Genomic DNA, 21,552 nt, shown 5'->3' on the forward strand with positions numbered 1-21,552 from the left:
GAGCGCATTTCAAGTTAGACTTGGACAAAGTAGCATTCAATGAATGCCTGATTAATTGAATCTCCAATACTGAGTACCCACTATAAACAGATGTTCCTTTTTTAAGACCTTGTTCCACTTAAGCACAGTTGCTTGCAGTCATTCAACGGGAGATACTGAAAGAGCAATTATAGAGGGAGAGCCTGAAGACAGCCTGTCACTGATGAGGCCAGGCCCCAGAAGAGGGAGGGAGGGAGCCAACAGGAGTGCGCGGGGCGGCAGGGGGCGGGGGGTGGGGTTTGGCCCTGGAAAGTGTTGTAAAAGAACAGAGGGGAGGCTGTGCTTTCATTGCTAATTTGAAAAACGCTGACATTTACAAGAAACAAGGAAATAGAATTATATAAGGAACAAGTTTTACTGCTGTGAAGAACATCTGCATATGTTAATTGGTACAAATCGTTTCTTGATAAGAGCAGAGACTTAGGATAATGGATTGCTGCCAACTATGATCATACAAAAATTCAATTTTTCTGTTCATAAGGGAAGAGGAATTTATTTATTATGTATCTAAGTATTTATTATTTATTATGTGTCTAAATCCTGGGAAAATAAAATTCTTTTCCCATCTTCTTTATAAAATTTTTTTGACATTCCTCGACTGCTTTACAAAGGAAGAAGACAGTGCTTTTAAGTCTTAAGGGTCTAAAGTCTTCCTACAGATTTTCGTAGGTGATTTATGTTGCCATGGAAACATGTTAAGTCTCCGTTCAAAAATCTTGTCTACATTTGTTATTGTAAAATGTTTCTGAAGAAGGGAAACCATCTCCTTCGTGCACTCTGATGGAGGCAGTCACTGAATGCTGTCGGTTGCCAAGCTATTGTCAGGAGGTGGTTAATGGAAGTAGGATCTATAGATTAAAAAGAAAGAACAACCTGGGGCCTAGAGGGTTGCAAGTGGCATAGAGAGCTTCTGTCTCCTTTTAGAAGGTAGTGGAAGATTGCTTTCTCCTGGCCAGAAATGACTGGGCCGAGAGAGGAGCTTGAAGATCTATGTATGTGTACATGCTTGTGCGCAGCTCTCAGTTTCTTTTGTGTGAGAGGGAGAAAAAAGTATTGCATAGAGAATGCCAGTATTCTAATTATTTAGGATCATTTTTCTCCTCCGTTAATATCCAGTAAGTACATGTATACCACGGATGATGATTTTATAAAATGAGGAAAGCACATACTTGGACGAAAAATGGTCAAGTATATAAAGAAAAGTTTGAAGCTAATGTGAGTAGATAATTAATAGAAAAGAATGCTCCCTCTCTCTTACATAGAAAGATTTGTATGGGTAACATCTGGCAATGATAGGTGTCAAGGTTTGGGCCCCTGTACTAGGTAAATGGCTCATTCTGCATATAGCTGCTATCTAAGTCTAGTTATGGGTGGCCTACAGCTTAGAGGCCCTTGTGCATCTGGGAAACAATGTCTCATTCAAAGAAAGTCCACAGGCACAATGTGTATAAAACCATGAGGATGGATAGTTAAAAATGAAAACTGCTCAAACTAGGCTGGGCACCGTGGCTCAAGCCTATGATCCCAGCACCCTGGGAGGCCAAGGCCGGCAGATCTCTTGAGGCCAGGAGTTCGAGACCAGCCTGGCCAACATGGTAAAACCCCCTCTCTACCAAAATACAAAAATTAGCCAGGTGTGGTGGCGGGTGCTTGTAATCCCAGCTACTCAGGAGGCTGAGGCAGGAGAATGGCTTGAACCTGGGAGGCGGAGGTTACAGTGAGCCAAGATCATGCCTCTGTGCTGCAGTCTGGGCAACAGAGCAAGACTGTCTCCAAAAAAAAAAAAAAAAAAAAAAAAAAACCCAAAAACTCAAACTAGGAGTCAGTTTGATTCTACACAAATTAATTTCAATTGCAGTATTTATTAGAAACTGTAGGAAGAAAAATGGTGCAAAATAAGAAAACTTACGGTTGGCCGAGGTGGAGGATAAGAGTGGGGGAGTGTGAGAGTTAAGACAAGTACACTTACAAATATACCTCAAGTAGAAAGAAATAAGAGATAGATGAGAAGTGATAGGTTGTAAGAAAACTTCCCCATAACCATTTCCCCGTCACTGTCAGGGTTTACCAGTCCTAGGAATGCTGGGGTGGTTGTGCCACAAGGCCATAGAGTTCTCAGTTGAGATTGAGGAGAGAAGGCTACGCTCTTTTGGTTAGCTGGGTCCCCAACGATCTGTGTCTGTCCTTGCAGAAAGATGGTTCCCTAGACTGGAAATGGAAATGTTGAAGGCAGAAAAGCCCTGAAAGGTGGGAGGGAGTGTTGCTCCTTCGGGGGTAACCTAGAGTTCTGACAGTATACTCTGTAAAAACTGCGAAGGACACAGTACGGTACATCTAGTGAAGTACTCCATAAACCTAAGTTTCTGCTTTTTTTTTTTTTTTTTTTGAAAAAAGTGCTTAATGTGTTTTAAACAAAGCTGGCACTAAAAATAACATCATTTTATGACTTCTTGAGAACCATGCTAATTTACTCTTTAAAATATTTTATAAGGGAATACTGGGAACAACTCGATGTCAATAAATTTGACAATATGCATGAAGTAGGCAAATTCTTAGAAAGATGAAAATTATAAAATTGACTCTTGGCTGGGCGTGGTGGCTCACGCCTGTAATCCCAGCACTTTGGGAGGCTGAGGTGGGAGGATCACTTGAGATCAGGAGTTTGAGACCAGCCTGACCAACATGGTGAAACCCCATCTCTACTAAAAATACAAAAATTAGCCAGGCATGGTGGTGGGCGCCTGTAATCCCAGGTACTTGGGAGGCTGAGGCAGGAGAGTTGCTTGAAGCTGGGAAGTAGAGTTGCAGTGAGCCAAGATCATGCCATTGCACTCCAGCCTGGGCAACAAAGTGAGACTTAAAAAAAAAAAAATTGACTCTTATCCCTGAGTGCAGGGGGAGTCCCTCTCACCTGCTTCCTCAGATGACTCTGGAAGCTTCCCCACACCACCGGGTACTGAGAGAAAGCTCCCTGACAGTCGAGACCGGCAGACCTCCATCTGGTCCCTGCCCTGGCCAGAGGCCCCCCTAAATTGACCTCCTGTCGATGCCCTGGTAGAGCCGACAGGTGCTCTGGGAGTCCTGTGCTTCCTGATCCAATAGTGCCAAACCCTTTGTCTCCCCCAGAAGCACAGCATATCCCTGGGACCCCTCGGCCACTGCCCGATTCGTGAGCCTTCTCTGTTTCTGGGGCCTCCCCCACCACAGCTCTGACTCCTGCCCCACAAAGGACTAGGCCGGCTGAGGGGGAGTGGGTGGGAGGGAAGATACAGACATGGGGAGGGGAGGCTGCTCTGGAAAAGTCTTTAAGGCTTTTGGAGGTCCAGGCCTGGGGCCAAGCAGGAAAGTGTGTGTGAGTGTGTGCATGAGGCGTGTGTGCAAGGAGTATGTGTGAGTGTGTGAGTGAGGCATGCATGTTAGTGTGTGTCTTTCCTAGGACACACCATACCCTGTGTATGTATGGATGTTTTTGTAAAAAAGAGAAAAATCTGAAAAAATGTTTTATTTGCTTTAAAAAAAATTGACTCAAGAAGAAATAGAAAACCTGAATAAACCTATATCAGGTACAGAAATTGAATTCACAATTTTAAATCTTTTTTTAAAATCTGTACATATCTTTTTTATTTGTTATTTATTTATTTTTTAACTTTTAAGTTCAAGGGTACATGTACAGTTTGTCACAGGGGTTTGTTGTACAGATTATTTCATCACCCACGTATTAAGTCTAGTACTCACTGGTTATTTTTCCTGATCCTCTCCCTCTTCCCACCTTCCACCTTCTGATAGGCCCCAGTGTGTGCTGTACCCCTCTATGTGTTCATGTGTTCTCATTATTTAGCTTCCACTTATAAGTGAGAACATGCAGTATTTGGTTTTCTGTTTGTGAGTTAGTTTGCTAAGGATAATGGCCTCCAGCTCCATCCATGTCCCTGCAAAGGACATAAAAAAAGAAATATGTATCACATTTTCTTTATCCAGTCAATCATTGATGGGCATTTAGGTTGGTTCCATGTCTTTGCTATTGTGAATAGTGCTGCGGTGAACATATACAGGCATGCGTCTTTATAACAGAATGATTTATATTCCTTTGGGTATATATCCAGTAATGGGATTGCTGGGTTGAATGGTATTTCTGTCTTTAGGTCTCTAAGGAATTGTCTTCCACAATGGTTGAGCTAATTCACATTCCCACCAACAGTGTATGGGCATTCCTTTTTCTCCTCTACCTCACCAGCATCTGTTATTTTTTGACCTTTTAATAACTGCCATTCTGACTGCCATGAGATGGTATCTCATTTTGGTATTGATGTGCATTTCTCTTAGTAATTTAAAATCTTTACACAAAGAAAGTCTGATGCTTGATGGCTTCACTGGTGAATTCTATCAAACATTAAGGAAAAAATGAACATCAATCCTAACAACTTCTTTTAGAAAATAGAGAAAAAGAGGCTGGGCATGGTGGCTCAAGCTTGTAATCCCAGTACTTTGGGAGGCCGAGGTAGGTGGATCGCTTGAGCCCAGGAGTTTGAGACCAGCCCGGCCAACATGGTGAAATCCCATCTCTATGAAAATATATATAAATTAGCTGGGTGTTGTGGCTCATGCCTGTAGTCACAGCTACTTGGGAGGCTAAAGTGGGAGGATGGCTTAAGCCCAGGAGGTGGAGTTTGCAGTGAGCAGAGATGGTGCCACTGCACTCCAGCCTGTGTGACAGAGCAAGATTCTGACTGACTCAAAAGAGAGAAAAAAAAAAAAAAAGAAAGAAAGAAAAAAGAAAATAGAAGAAAAGAGAATGCTTCTCAACTCATTTTAAGAGGACAGCATTTCCCTGATGCCCTGATACCAAGCCAGTCAAAGACACTGCAAGAAAAGAAAACTACAGGCTAATATTCCTCATGAATACAGATGTGGAAACTCTTAAAAAAATATTTGCAAATCAAATCCAGCAACATAAAAAGATTTAAACACCAGGACAAAGTAAAGTTTATCCCAGGAGTACAAGCTCAGTTTAACATTCCAAATCAATTAGGATAATACATCATACAGTAACAGAATAAAGAACAAAAACCATATGATCATCTCAATATTCTTAGAAAAAGCATGTGACAGACCGGGCACGGTGGCTCACGCCTGTAATCCCGGCACTCTGGGAGGCTGAGGCGGGTGGATCATGAGGTCAGGAGATAGAGACCATCCTGGCTAACACGGTGAAACCCCGTCTCTACTAAAAAATACAAAAAATTAGCCGGGCGTGGTGGTGGGTGCCTGTAGTCCCAGCTACTTGGGAGGCTGAGGCAGGAGAATGGCGTGAACCCAGGAGGCGGAGCTTGCAGTGAGCCAAGGTTGTGCCACTGCACTCCAGCCTGGGTGACAGAGTGAGACTCCATCTCAAAAAAAAAAAAAGAAAAAGCATGTGACAAAATCTAACACCCTTTCATGATAAAAAGAAATATTGCTGGGAGTGGTGGCTCACTCTTGTAATTCCAGCATGTTGGAAGGCCAAGGCAGGCAGATCAGTTGAGGCCAGGAGTTCAAGACCAACCTTGCCAACATAATGAAACCCTATCTTTACTTAAAAAAAAAGAAAGAAAGAAAGAAAAAGAAACATCATCAATCTAGCAATAGAGGGGAACTCCCTCAACTTACTAGAGGATATCTACAAAAACCCTACAACAAACATAATACTCAATGGTAAAAGACCAAATGCTTTCCCCCTAAGATCAGGAACAAAGTAAGGATGCCCACTTTCAACACTTCTATTCAACATTCTGTGACAGTCATAGTCAGTATAATAAAACAAGAAAAGAAGTTAAAGGCATACAGATTAGAAAAGAAGACACAAAGCTGTCATTATTTGCATATAACATAACCTTGCATTTAGAAAATACTCAGGAATTGGCCGGGTAATCCATAATAAAACAAGAAAAGAAGTTAAAGGCATACAGATTAGAAAAGAAGACACAAACTGTCATTATTTGCATATAACATAATCTTGCATTTAGAAAATACTCAGGAATTGACCGAGTAATCCCTGCACTTTGGAAGGCCAAGGTGGGTGGATCACTTGAGGTCAGGAGTTCGAGACCAGCCTGGCCAACACGGGGAAACCTCGTCTCTACTAAAAATACAAAAATTAGCCAGGTGTTGTGGTGGGTGCCTGTAATCCCAGCTACTCAGGAGGCTGAGGCAGGAGAATCGCTTGAACCCGGGAAGTGGAGGTTGTAGTGATCTGAGATCATGCCACTGCACTCCAGCATGGGCCACAGAGCAAGACTCCATCTCAAAAAAACCAAAAAAACAAAACAACAACAACAAAAAAACCCAATAAAGGCTACTAGAAAAAATGAGTGAGTTTAGCAAGATTGCTGGATGCTAGATCAATACATAAAAATTAATTGTACATCTACATACTAGTAACAGACAATGGGAATATAAAATTTTAAAAGTTCATTCACAATAATATCAAGCAGAATACAATAGGAATAAGTTTTTTTTGATTTTTAATTTATTTTTTAATTTAAAGAGACAAGGTCTCACTCTGTCAGCCAGGCTGGAGTGCAGGGGTGTGATCATGGCTCATTGCAGCCTCAAACTCCTGGGCTCAAGCAATCCTCCCACCTTGGCCTCCCAAAGTTCTGAGATTACATGTATGAGCCACTGCACTCAGCCAGTAATAAATGTAAAAAAAGAAGTGCAATGGCTGTACACTGAAAACTACATAATGCTGCTGAGAGAGATTGAAGAAATATTATAAATAAAGAGATACACCATATTCATATACTGCAAGAGTCAACATTGTTAAGATGGCAACTCTCTAGAAATTGATCTATAAATTCGAAGCAACTAATATCAAAATCCCAGCAGGACTCTTTGTAGAAAATGACAAGCTGATCTTAAAATTTATAGGGAAATGCAAAAGATCTAGAATTGCCAAAACAATTTTGAATAGGAGAAACAAAGTATGAGGATTTACACTACCTGATTTCAAAACTTATGAAGCTACTGTAATCAGTCAGTGTGTTACTCACATAAGGATAGACATATAGATCTATGAACGGAATAGAGTGTTCAGAAATAGATCTTTGCATACAGAAGTGTGCTAAAGCTGGCTCACACTGGCTTACAGAAATAATTGTTAAATTTTCAGGAATTTAATGAACCGATTGTTAAATTATTGGTAGCTTGAAAGCATCCATGTGACAGTATTCATATCAGGAAATTGGCTAACACTGTAAATAGGACAAATAAGGCCCTTTTTTTTTCCAGATAGTGGGAAAAAGTTATTAAACATTTATCATCATACCATTGGCTCACATATATGGTCAATTTATTTTTGACAAAAAGATGGAAATAGCTTAAATGTCCATCAACTAATGAATAGACAAAATGAGTGTATCCATATAATGGAATACTACTTAGCAACAAAAAGAAATGAACCAATATGGATGACTCTTAAAAAGCATGCTAAATGAAAGAAGGCTAACAGAATATACCACATATTGTATGATTCCAACTATATGAAAATTCTAGAAAAGGCAAACTGTAGAAACAGAAAGATCAGTGGTTGCCGAGGCTTGTGAGTGAGAGGGAGGATGCTAAAACTGTCTTTCAGAGACGGCTGCACCAATGTATAATTTTACTAAATCTCATGAAAATATACACTTAAAAGGGGTGCATTTTATGTTATGTGAATGATACCTCAATAAAGCTGTTTAAAAATCCAGCTGGAACATCTCCTTTCCTGACACCCCTCCCTTTGCAAGGAGGTGATCCCTGCCTCCTCTGATGCTCACCTTCTTTGTCTGACTTATACTGTGATCTTTGTTATTTGTTTCCAAGCTCATCTGTGGGGCCTAGGAGAGCAGAGGTGGCATCTGACCCATCTCTGCGTCCCTGGTGCCTGGTTTGGAGGCTGGCATGTTTCAGCATGCACTCAAGTCAGTGTTACTGAACCAACGAATAAACACCTTTGTCTTACGTTTTTTTTGAGATGGAGTCTCGCTCTGTCGCCCAGGCTGGAGTGCAGTGGCGCTATCTCGGCTCACTGCAACTTCTGCCTCCCGGGTTCAAGCAATTCATCCATGATGAAAGTGGCATGAAATACCACTTCTATTGCATTTTGTGCTGCTTTTGATTCTTGTTGCTACTGATTCCCTGGAAGTGATGCTGATGAAGCCCGGCTGCCCACACTGAGACCCTTGGCTGCCCACACTGTCTCACCTGCGGTGGCCAGAGCTCTGGGGTGCATCAGGGATGTGCAGCCAGGCCAGCAGCGGGTGGGCAGTCTGGTGAGTGAATCATGGACTTCATTTACCCAGGCCCAACTAACCTTCTCTGGCTTCGATATCTCTCTTTCTTTTCACATTGTAATTTTACTTTCGGCAAGCTTTTCAGCAACCTGCTAACTCTAGGAGAAGTAATAGACATGCTCAGAGGTGTCAGTGTCTGAGAAAATGTGAGACTTGTTTTTCAGGCCATGAAATCCAGAGAGGCTTCCTCAGAAATGGGATGTGGAATTTCATCATGAAGCTGTAGCACAAAACTTGCCTGGGCTGGGACCCAGGGTGACAGTGATGTGCTGTGGCCAGCACCTCAGAGGCCAATTGCTCAGGGTGGCTGCACCACTTCCTTAATTCCTCTCTATGCCAGAGGGGTGGGCGGCACTTACATGCACTCACTCTCTCACCATCAGCACAGCCCAGTAAGGCTGGAGGCCCCCTGGCTCCCAGAGAGGTTCAAGGTCTTCCCTGAAGTGTCATGGCCAGTCAGGGCCTGACTGGAACCCAGGCCCATCCAACTCCGTATCTCAAGCTCCACGAGCTGCCCTGTAGATGCCTGAAGCATGTTCATTAGCCTGTGTCTGCATGAACTATCCCTGCCTTGAATTTTCTGCTTCTCTTTTCTACCCGAGATGCAACTTAAATATAGGCCAAAAAAGGGAGTAGATAGAAAAAGGCTAAGGGCACAAGTCAGCATAATGCATAGACCCATCAGGAGAATAGTCATGTTCTTTCGAAAGGCATGATCACCTTCACAGCACGTCCCTACCTGGCTCCAGGCTCATATTCCAATGGACAACAAGTGCCTACTGAACACACTTTGCACACAGCAGGTGCTCAGCCTACATAGTAAGCATTGTTTCATGCCGCTGGGCCTCTGCTGGCGATTCTGTTCAACACGCATTGAGGATGCATCCTAGAGTAACAAAAAGATGTGAACTGGCCTCTAACAATGTTCAGCTGAGTGGGGCAGTAAGCCTCACTCAACACAAAGAAAACAAAAGTACACACCAGAGCCTGGGGAGAGCAGGTGCTCTGGGAGTTCAAGGGCCTCGCCGAGGAATCTCAGGGCAGTTTTAGAAGAGTAGGGATTTTCAGGCAGGGAAGGAGAGGCACTGACATTTCTGCAATCCTTCCCTCCCAGCATTCATAAGAAGATCATCCCCACAAACTCATTAGCACAGCCACAGCGCTTGGAGTCATCTTTAGAGGCATTTTCCAGGCAGCCTGGGATGGCAGGTCCAAGCCCATCATGTCATGTGCATTCAGCTGAGCAAACAAAGCCCTTGAAAACACCTAGTCTTTGGGGGAAGCAATTAATATTTCAAAGGAAGCCTCCTTCGCATCAGCACCCTGCATTCTTTATCTGTCAGCTATGCAGGTGGTCAGGCTGGCATCCTGAGACTGAGGGGGAGAGAAGAGAAGAGGATGTTGGGGCCTACAGTGTGCACCAGATGCTGCACAAACATGCCCTCAATCCCCACACAGTGCCACCAGGCAGGGACCTCCCCTCATTCTAATGAGAAAACCAAAGCCCAGAGAGGTGAGCGATTTGCTCAAGGGCACACAGCTAACAAACAGGAGGACCAGAACTCAAATTCAAGAGTGAACCATTAACTTCAGATCTGACACTTTCCTACTGTTCTACAGCAATCAGTTTCTGTACAGAAAACAAAAAACAAACAAACAAAAAGAATCCCACAACTTTTTTCTCTTACTTAAATATCAAAATAAAATTTGGTACCAATCACATGCACAAATTACAGTACCAGAAGGGAGGCACACTTCTGCCATGGTTGAAAATAGGCTTGGCCTGATTAAAAGACCTCTGTTAATTCCTCATCTGGAGGATCAAGGCCAGACTCCCCAGCCAGACCACGGGTCCAGTCCAGCACAGCCCACTTCTGTAGGCCCATTGCCTCCCACTCTCGTCCTCTGAGTAGCTTATCTACATCCCTGGTCTTTGCTTATATTGCTCTCTTTCTAGAATGCTCTCCCAGGCCCCATGCTCTTTGCTTGACCTCACACGTATCACCTCTGTGAGCCATCACTGACCCCTAAGACAGGATGAAAACTCTCACTCCAGCTTCCACACGGCATCCCAGTCTGCTGCAGTCATCTCTTGACAAGCATATATCCTCTCTGAACTGGATGCCCTAGAGGACAGGAGCGTATCTGAGCCTAGCCCAGCACAGAGCAGGCACTGAGAAAAGGCTTGCTGAGTGAATATGACTGCATAAGAATCATGGAGTAGCAGAGCTGGACAGACATCTGAACACTTTCATTTTATAGCTAAGAATTATATGAAGGCCAGTAGAGGCAAAGAAGGTGGAGCGGTAAGGAGGGACCACACACTGGAGCTCAGGCTTGACCCTGGAAGCAGCAGGAGCCACTCAAGACCTAAGAGCAGAGGAGTGACGTGATGATGTGGCCCGGGAGGTATTTTGTTTTGGTGACTCAGACCACTTTGGGGCAATAAGAGGCTGGGATAGGGAGAGACTGGAGGCTGCAGATTCAAGTATGTTTTATTTAATAATAATCTAAATTACAAACTTAGTGTCACTTCTGCTAATAAATTATTTAAGGCATTTATTGAGTGCCTGCAGCAATTATAATATCGGTACCCTTTACTGAGGGCCCACTGTGTATCAGGTGCTTTGCATTCATTACTTAATTTAAATCTCAGAGCCACCTTTTGAGTTAGGCACTATTACTTTCTGTTTTATGGATGAGGAAACTAAGCTCAGAGAGGTGAGGTTACTCATCTAGGGCCTCAGAGAGACTACGATCCAGGCCCTGGGAAGAAAAGACAAGGAGCCCACAATCTAGTGAAGGGCAGAAGAGGAAAATAAATGATTTGAGTCATTTGATATCAGAGGTGCTATAACCCATAGAAACAGAGGGAGGTGAGGAGGCCCAGAGTGGGCCCTGTAACCACTGGCAGGAGGCGATGAGTGAAATCTAATTGTGACGGGTGGCAGAAAAAAATGCATTACAAATTGAAAACAGGCCTACTGTCCTATTACTTATGTTTTCTCTTTTTGGAGCAGAGCCAAACTGTGTATAACCTAGGAAATGGCTGAAAGCAGAGAGGAAATATGCAGAGCATCCCTCTGTGAGATTCAAAAATCATCTTCATGCTTGTAATCATTCAACACAGACACTCCGCACCTGACTTCCCAACAATGGGATTAGCCCGTCTTTCTGCCCCAGGGAACTCTGTGCCATTTGGAGAGACCTAGGGGTCCTGGAAGAGAGATGCTGATGGTCCAGCAGCAGCTGGCCTCACACAGGCCTACAACTTAATTAGGTTCCTGGGAGGGCAGTGTGCAGAGATAAACCAGTTAGTAAGGGGCACCAGAGTGCTGGGTGTGGAAGTGTCAGCATCAAAGACACGCCTAAACGGCCTCTGCTCTGCACATGTGGCTGTGCTTGCACGTACGTCCATGTCTGTATGTGTCTTTGTGTGTGTGTGCTCTGGCCAAACAGTAGGAGGAGGGAGGGTTGGAAACAAAAGGACCTGAAAACAAGGGGACCGTCACAGTGAGAAACTGATTTGCTTTCAGACTAATGATGGTAATGGTGATGATCGTGAAGGTAGATGACAGAGAAGCTTCTTGGTTCCAGAAACTGTATGAGGCACACTTTTTCACTACCTCATTCAATCGTCATGGAGATCCTATGGAGTAGACACTGTTATTATCATCCTCGTTTTACAGATGAGGAAACAGGAGCTCAGGGGGTTCCGTGTCTTGACCTTGGACAGCAATAAGTAGAGATGTTAGAATTAAACAAAAATACTACAATTAGGAGCCATGTCCCAGAACTGAAATGGAACATTCAGCTGAGGCACTGAGACAATACCAAAGCAGGCACAAGGTCACAATGCAGGATCCTCAAAGGAAAGGCTGAGAATGGTGGAGGGAGAGGACGTTGGCAAGAGCTCTGTGTGCTGTGACGGGGCTACTTCTCCCTTCGACTGAAATCAAGAGAGAGGCTCAAGGACACCCGGATCTCAGGGGCTGTGCTGGAGCCATAGCTGACTCATCTGAGAGACAAGGCCCAGGAGACAGCTGGCTAGCTGGTCTTGGAGCAGAGGGAGAGAGAAATGGTTGTGTTGGGGGTGGCCTGTACTCTGTTTGCTGGAGCAAAGAATGCACGGTGCTGTTTTCCTGGAGCAGATGGGGTCAAGAGGGCCAGCTGAAGTGGCAAACAGATCCCACCAGAAAGAAGCTGGAGGGACTGCAGGATGCTGGGGGTGAGGAAGGAGTATGGGAGCAGCCAGAGAGATTCACATTTATCAAGGGACTGTGGTATGAGATTCAAAGTGATGGGTGGGGGCCTCCAAAGAACCCAGCAAAGCACCCGCAAGACAAAGATCCCAGCTTAAACACCTGCTGGGGGACATCAGTCACCATGGCCACACGGGTCCAAGCGAGAGCTTGCCTCCTCCCCGCCCTTGCTCCCCGAATACCAACCCTGGAAAGGTGAGGAGCTGGGGGAGGGGAGGACAGGGCAGTAGAAGCCCACTGTAGGCATCTCCTCTGCAGCAGGCCAGAGCGGCAGGAGGGAGAAAAACATTCACTTTAAATAGACTGACTACTTTGACTATTACATAGGACTGAACATTTAAATTACTGGAGGACTTTTATTTCCTGACATTTGCCAAGTTACAAGACTTCCCTAAATATTGTACAAGTTATGAGACCCATCCAAAATTTTGTGAAAGGGGAGGGGAAGAACTTGACCTGGAGAATAAATTTAAAGGGATAGTGGGAGGCAAAAATAAAATCACCTTGCAATTATGTCTGATGAGCTGCATTTGTTGAACGTAAAAGTTACATTTACAATGAATGAAAACTTACTGTGTGCCAGAAGCTTTAATAATAGATTTGCTTGATCTAATTTAATCTCAAATTAACCCTGCAAGATAGAAGTTACTACTCCTATTTTACATGTTGGAACACAGAGGCTCTGTGAGGTAAAGAGATCTGCCCAAAGTCACAGAGCTGGCAAGTGGCAGTGCTGGGACTCAGGCTCACAAAGACGAAAAGCCTGCGTCTTTCATTTTTTTATTTTTATTTTTTGAGACAAAGTCTTGCTCTTTACTCAGGCTGGAGTGCAGTGGTGCGATCTCGGCTCACTGCAAATTCCGCCTCCTGAGTTCAAGTGATTTTCCTGCCTTAGCCTCCGAAGTAGCTGGGATTACATGCATGTGCCACAATGCCTGGCTAATTTTTGTATTTTTAGTAGAGATGGGGTTTCACCATGTTGGTCAGGCTGGTCTCCAACTCCTGGTCTCAAGTGATCCTCCTAACTCGGCCTCCCAAAGTGCTGGGATTACAGGCATGAGCCACCACCCCCTGCCAAGCCTGGGTCTTTCTATCGTGTCTCTGCTTGGGACTTCTGCAGGTCAACTTGTGCCAATAAAAGTGGTGCTCAGGGTGGGAGCTTTTCTGGCATCCTGCATATGAAGTACATTTTTTTCCCTGAATTAATTCTGTCCTCATGCATTCAATAAAGCTTTCACTATAAAGGGCAAAAGACTTTGCTCAAAAGACTGACTTTATATTCTTATATTCTTTTATTTTGAGGTCAAAGGGATTGGAAAAAGTTTATTCCACAGCTGCTATCACTTGCTTGTTTGTCAAAGGGTTAATATAAACTGCAGTGTCATAACCAAATAATTAGATCTAGGTCTGAATGCAAGTTTGTAAACAGGGCTATAGATATACTGACAGGGATGGTGGTATTTGGAGGGAGCTGTTACTGAAGGACAGTGAGGGCATTGCCGGGAGGGGAGTGGGCTGAGGGGAATGAAGAGGAGAAGAGAAAATAAGAAGGCAGTGAGAGGAAGTCTTGTTGACAGAGGAACAAAAGTCTCGGTTCTTGTTCATCAGCTACACACTGAATTCTCATGTCTTCTAATATCCACCACAATAAGTAACTACAGCAAAGACAAGGCTAGGACCTACCTTAGAGAAGAATGCTTGATAAAACACACTACTGGATTTCAAATCTGTGTTCATATGAGTGATGCGAGTGTGTGTGCATGTGCTGCTGTAACTATCATCACCACCACCTTCACACCATTGTCTTCATCGTGGTCTTCCGAACTTTCCGACTCTACCCTCTCCCAGAAATCCACCCAGCCCAGTTAGAGAACCAGCATGGGACTCCTGGGCTTAAACTCCTCCCATCTTCACTGGTGAACTCTTGTGTCTTTGTCTGGTTTTGGTGTCAGGGTAATATTGACCTTATAGAATGAGCTATGAAGTGTTCTCTCTTTTTCTATTTTTTGGAAGAGTTTGTGAAAATTGGTATTAATTTTTCTTTGCATGTTTGGCAGGAATCACCAGCTTAATTGTTTTTGTAAACCATTGCACCTAGTTCACAGTTGATATTCATTAAAGGTTCTGCATTGAAATGAATCTGTTTCTATAATGTTGTATCTTACCTGATATAATTTAATGATGAATATTTAACTTAAAATTTTAAAAGAGGCTTCTATCTGATATATCATAGAATACTACAAAAGTCCAGACTGAAGTCCAAATTTCAGACTATTTATACCAGATCTTGAATTTTATAGGTGTGACCTACTAGTCACTCCTAAAAATAGATTCCTTCAAATTTCTCTGGGTACCAGGTAATATTCATTCAACTAAGCCCTGAACTGAGTTCCAGCTTCCTATCTGTATCTCCCTAAACTCATTACTAATTAAAGGAAGCCATAGCTACATTTTAAATACAAAATGCTTAACTTACAAAGGCTCGTTAAAAGGTAATGATTCAAGTGTTTTGTTAATAACAAGGACTTATTACCTTTTAAGAACAATTGTCCAAATGTATCATAGAATTTGTTAATAATGAAAATTCCACTGTTCTTACCCTTGTGGTGAAGCCCTGGAATCTGTATTTTAACAAGTTCCTTGGGTGATTCTAATGCAGTTGGTCAGAGGAGCATACTTTGAAAAACACCACTTTAAAGTTATCATGACTTTGTGGATAAAGGTGATGAATAAAGTAAATTGTGTCTATAATAAAGTGCCGGGCACACCACTTGGCTCAAGGTGGCATGCTGTGGGTGCCAATGTGACTGGTTTAAGAAGCATAATTCAAATTACCTTAAAGAGGGTTACAGCTGGGTAAAAACTTAATTGTTGATAGGACTGCAGGCATATCTAGGTATTTTTGGTCACTCTCCCACAGTCTCCACTCATTCTCAGCAATAACAAAGCATGGACTATGAGAAAGGGCTTATGTTTGGAATCCCAATTATGCTGTGTATCAGTTGTGTAACTTCAAGAACTACCCTCCCTAAGCCTCAGCTTCCTCATCTGTAAACAGGGATAATGTCATCTACCTTGCTGTGGTGGTGTGCAGATTTAATGAAATACAGTAGACTTTTTTTTTCTTAATTGCCCTTTGCCCTTTGCCCAACCCTCTCCCACTCCCCTCCTCCAGATGGGCTCATGTAACACAGGGCCAGCAGGAGACGGTACAAATGCACTTGCACAGCTACAGTGATGGATGGCTGTCAAGTGGCTGTCTCAGCTAAGGAAACTCAAACATGAAAAGGGAAGAAAAGGAAGCAGATTCAAAGGCTGGTGATGAGATGATCAAGTGCTTGCTTCAGAACACAAATCTCAACATGAGACCAGTGAAATTCAATTGAAGCAGAGCACACTTATATCCTCGGGTGCTTTGATATATTTAGGAGGAAATGAGGGAATATCAAGGTCAGGTCTAAAAGGAGATCAATGAAAAGTGATAATTTCTGCTGTCGCAGGAGATAGGCACTGGGTGTACAAATATTTCACGTAGATGGAATGATCCAATTTCATCCAGCAAATACCACCTGTGAACACATTTCTGGTATATTTTGCTGAATGGACACCAAGTTTGTGAGTAAGTGAATTTCTAGCAATGGTGAAATTATCTCTGCGAGCCCCATACAGACATTCCTTACTTTAAATCCATCAATTTAATCAACGGAGAGTGTAAAATTATAGGAGTCTCTTTTGATTCCTTTCATATTCATTTCCTACTATGGCTTTGGGATTCAAATGATTAGCTCTGTGACATTAGAGGCAAGTTACTTTACCTCACCGAGCCTTCTTGCTTAATCCTCACTTCAACCCTATTAGCTCTATTCTATTTCCAGGAACATGGGGGTAGAGGGTGCCTTACCGAAGGTCACCCAGCTAGTAAGAAGTAGACCAAGCCCAGGGCAGGCTTCCTCTGTGTTCCATTCCAACTCTGGGGACTTGCCCAGGGACAGCAAATTAGGGGGCCAAGATCACTTTTTCAGATGTTATTCTGGGTCTTTCCATGTTCAGCCATCAGAGTTTATAATCCACCAAAGGGAAGATTCAATGTCTGTATAAGGTCTCTCACAAACAGACAGGCATGGTGAAGTGGACTGCATGAACTACTTTGTATGCCTTCCTGATGCTTGGTTGTAAGTTAATACATCCATCTTCCTCTTTCCTTTCTCACAGAATAAATACCCTTCAGTTACCACCACTTTTGTTTTGCGTGATTCTATAATCTACTGGCTTCTAACTGTTCACTGTTCAAAGAAGATAGATACAAGGACCTAAGGGTAAGGGATGTACATAACCTCAGATAAAGGGTAGTATTCTCTGGACTAGGGAATTGTGGGAAGAGCATGATAAGAACAGATTAGAACTAACCACTATTGTTATGACTGCGTAATGTGGAAATTAGAGTCATCTATCCATCCAGCCAGCCAGCCAGTAATTCATAGAACCCTAGAATTTTAGAACTGGCAGACAATCATAGAGATAATTTAATTCAATATGTTAATTTTTACAGATGGAAAAAAATTAGATGGAGAGAGAGGAAATAACTCCATTAAAGTCACATAGCAACTGATGGCAGAGCTGGAACCAGCATTCCAGCTTCTCATTTCCTGGTCCAGTTTTGTTGTTGTTGCTGTTGTTTCTTTTCTTTTTTTCTTTTTTCTTTTTTTTTTTTTGGCATCAGAAGAGACAGTATTTTAAAGGTACTAATAGCATATTGTTATTAAAAACAACAGTAGACAATGTCTCCACAAAACCTAACTGCTTGTAACATATCTTCACTTAAGTATTTCATGTGAGTCACCATGTACAGGGCATTAGAAATTATTCCATTAAGTATATGCTCTGAATTGCTTGGGTTTGCTCATAAATCCCAATCCCACAGGACTTACGAAGGCAAATGATCTTCCCAAAAGGTCCATGTGCCTTTTGTTCTTTAGGCTAATCCTCATATAACTTGAAAATAAATCTCACTCCTCTGACGGATACTCTGGGCAAACTTAGGATTTTTCTGTCAAGTAAGTATTTCATGAGGACATGCTAGTGAGAGATGCTAAAAAATTCACTCATTAATTTGTTTAACATATATTAACTTAGGTGCTGTGGGAAGACATTGGGATACAACAGAGGACAGAGGATACAAAGTCCCTGCCCTCTTGGAGAGCAGTGACTTACATTCCAATGAAGGGAGAGGGACCATAAGCCAATAAGCTGGTATGTCAGGTGGTGGGAAGTTCCAACAAGAATAATAAAGGTGACAGAGAGTCACATGTGCTGTGTGTGTGTATGTGTGCTTACCTAGGGTCAACAACAGCCTCTCTGATCAAGTGAGAGTTGAACAGAGACCTGGAGGAAGTGAGCCTTGTGGGCTTCTGCAGGGAGAGTGCAAAGACCCTAAGGCCGGAGGATGTGTCTGAGGAATGCTGAAGAGGCCAGTGAGGCTGAATGGGAGCTAACGAGGAGTAGGAGAAGAGATCAGAGAAGGGCGAGCAGAGTGGGGAGGGCCTTGGATAACAGAGAGAGGGATTTGGTTTAATCTTCTGTGCGATGGGGAGCGGCTGGAGGATTTGAGCAGACCTGATGTAGCTCCGAGTGGCACGATTTGACTCTTGGTTTATGTTTACTTCAGCTGCTGCATTCAGAACAGACACTAGCTGGGCAAGGAAGAAGCAGAGAGACCTGTTAGGAGACTCCTTCGATAGTCCAGATAAAAGATTATGACGGGGTGGGCGACAGTAGCTGCGTCCCCATCCCCAGGCTGGGCAGAAGAGACTCTTGAGTAGAGATACTTGCTGAAACTTGCTGAATGAGTGAAGAATCTTACACAGAAAGTATGTAAAGAGCGTTAAGAGCACATAAATGAGAAGATTTATTCTACTTTATGGAAGTGGAAGCATGACAAAAATGTCAAAGAAGACACGAGTCTAATCTTTTTATTCTTTTTTGTTTTTGAGACAAAGTCTCTGTCACCCAGGCTGGAGTGCCAGGGCGTGATCTTGGCTCACTGCAACCTTCGCCTCCTGGGTTCAAGTGATTCTCCTGCCTCAGCCTTCTGAGTAGCTGGGACTGCAGGCATGTGCCACCACATCCAGCTAATTTTTATATTTTTGGTAGAGACAGGGTTTCACCATGTTGGCCAGGCTGGTCTTGACCTCAAGTGATCCACCCACCTCAGCCTCCCAAAGTGCTGAGATTACAAGTGTGAGCCACGGCACCCAGCCAAGTCTAATCTTTATGATACAAATTCACCAAAGATGGGAGACACAGGGCTTTTCATGGCCAAAGGATGGCAAAAGCAAATCCCACAGAGATGGCTCTTATTAGAACTTTCAGAGTACCTTCGCTTGCTTGGAAACGGGCTCTTCAGATGAGAAAGCCTTGGCCTCTTTAGAAAACCATGCACGGGTTAAGAGAGATGCTGACACTTTTCAAAATATTGTGCAGGAAAATTTATTTTTCTATTAATGAGTGTTTAAGGGCTATTAAAACTGTGTTTGTCATCTATAATCTGGCAGCTATAAAGAGATGCCCTTTTATTATTCTTTCATTGAGCTTTCTCACACCAAATTACTAATGAGGTAATTACCAACATTGTAATTATTGTATAATTACTAGGGGAGTGGGAAGGAAAATGTGGAGCAAAATAGGCGGCCAGGATTTTGGTTGTTCTGTCAGAGATTTGATAATAATGATCTCTGTGAAAGTCGGTGAACCGAAAGTTTAAGGCTCATAAAATGGGAGCATTGGCACCCGGGTATTGTAAAGCAATTAGTAGGAGGTGCAGGAGCAGCCTCTGGGTTCCCCTGGGGACTCTGCTCTTCTTGGAGGCAGCCTGCCTGGGATATAAAGGAGCCTCTGAAAGTAAACAGAGCCGGCCTGAAGTCCTCGTTCACACCTCACTTCCTGTGAAATCTTGGGCTTGTGACAGGACAGAACGTGTCTGAGCCTCATTTTATTAAAGTGAAAAGGGAAAAATGTACCTCCTACATCTGCCATGAGGGTTAAACACATCAACACCAAGAGAAAACGAGTGGCATCTGGTGCTTACAAAGTGTTCGTCTCCTTAAGCCCCTTCCATCAGCACCAGGCCAGGCGGCGTCTCGCTGCCAAAAGCCCAATTAGGCAAGGCCAAAAGACTTAGCAATTTTTCAATAATTTTTACTCAAGTTTACTTGAAACTGCTAAAACACTTTCAATTAGTTTGTCAGTTCATATTTTTAAATTTTTGAGGTAAAAATAGAAACTCATGGGGATAAACATGGCGTTTGAAACCACACAGCTGCAACAGCAGCCAAGCTGTGACTCGAGCCTTCTCACAGTCTGAGGACTCGGTTCCTTGGCTTCATTCCTTCGTGAGCCATATCAGAACATCTGTAATGTTAGCCTCCCCATGCAGCTGGCCCAAGCCGACCAGAGCTGCAGGAGGCAGGGCTTTGGGGAGGTATCTTCATTGTGTCTGTGTGTTTAACATCTAGCTCAGAGGATGCTACGCCCGTGTAAGGAGCTGCCAGGCATGAGATACTGAAGCACGAGAAAGGCTACAGTTGTTTTATAATAAGTACACAAAACCTCTTTACCCAAGTGTAATGTTTTACCCTTTAGATCCTAGAATGCACCTAGCATTATTTTCTCCACACTGGTTCCCAACTTTAGTGTTCCTAAGAATCACCTTGGGTGGGAGTGAGGGGTTTGTCAGAATGCAGGGTCCTGGGCCCCACCCCCATAGTCTGCTTCTGGGTCCCAGGAAGCTGCACTTGAAATGACCACTCCAGATGATTCCGATGCAGGTCCACAGATGGTGCACATGAGAGAAACTCTAAGATATTTACTGAATCTGCCCAACAACCTTGGGATATAAACAGAATAAACATGGTTCAGAGGGTTTAAGTAATTTACAGTGGGCAACTTGCCAATGAGTGATGAGAGCTGGGCTCCTTCCCCTCACCTGCCCTTCTGAAAAGCTATTTCTTCTATTAAGCCTATGCCAGAACAAGAATACTTGAAATAATCTCTTCCTCTTAACCAAAGAGTGCTTCTCTTTTGTTACAGCTTTTCATCTTATACAATGCTAGCATGAAGCACCTGCTTTGCCTCTGTATTAAGGGCATCTTTTTTACTCTGATGTTTTGGCATCTGGGGCCTTAGTGATGCTCTGGAAACTGTCCCTCGCTCTTCAGCCCCCACATACACCCCAGGACTAGCCAATTTTTAGAGATAGTAAACAACTTGTCTATGAGGGTACCTTTTATATGCAAACCAACCCAATAACCATTCCCCAACCACCTCCTTTAGCAGGCTCTCACACTTGGACCACTATTTCCCTGCCCTAATCACTCCAGGGCCAGGTACCAGACCACTGTGGACAGCCCCTGTGCCCCAGAGCCCACCAAAACTATTCAAATTAGCCAATCCTAAGCCCACTTAGCCTGCTTGCCCCAGCTTATCCATTACTTCCTGCAAAAATCACAAAGAAGCCTTTCATCCATATTCTCCCTCAATCCTTCTTGCCTCCTGACCCAACTTGGTGCTTCCTTGTGTGGCCCTGCATGGCACAATATTCCTTCTGGGAGCGAAATATCTCTTTCAATGGCAGTTGTCTCCTGATCCGCTGGCCTCACGGTGTATGAGTAATAATGAAGCTTGCATTTGAAAATAGCTTCCCATACTAAACTGGAAGCAACCTGAGGACAAAGCCCTTCTCCCTTTTCAACAGCTATTAATTAGATTAACTTGGTGTTTTGTTCACTGAAGATGTTCCAAAACTATTTGTTAAGTGAATTTAAAGAGTCAGGAAGCTTAAGCAAAGCCTTCTATTAGTGATTTTGCTCATCTTTGGGGTTAGAATTTTAAATCAATTTTCAAGCTGCTGCCAAACTGATGTTTTTCTCAAGCAAAAATGTAAAAGT

At 43.3% G+C, this 21,552-nt stretch overlaps 1 protein-coding gene across 8 annotated transcripts in view; it reads right to left on the reverse strand.

Annotated features, from left to right (window-relative positions):
* The window catches only part of MAP6 (microtubule associated protein 6), an 82,121-nt gene that overhangs the window by 28,784 nt on the left and 31,785 nt on the right, over positions 1-21,552 (reverse strand). Inside the window, exon 3 of one of the 8 annotated variants that reach the window (XR_949933.4) lies at positions 13,431-18,300. The exons of 6 other annotated variants lie outside the window; for them this stretch is intronic. The gene's annotated coding sequence lies outside the window, so the exon portion shown is untranslated. Of the gene's footprint in view, positions 1-13,430; positions 18,301-19,080; positions 20,493-21,552 lie in introns of those variants that run through there. One more of the 8 variants, XR_949932.4, reaches the window with a different exon arrangement.

The sequence above is a fragment of the Homo sapiens genome, chromosome 11 (genome assembly GCF_000001405.40).
Source record: "Homo sapiens chromosome 11, GRCh38.p14 Primary Assembly".
Classification (NCBI taxonomy): Eukaryota; Metazoa; Chordata; class Mammalia; order Primates; family Hominidae; genus Homo; species Homo sapiens.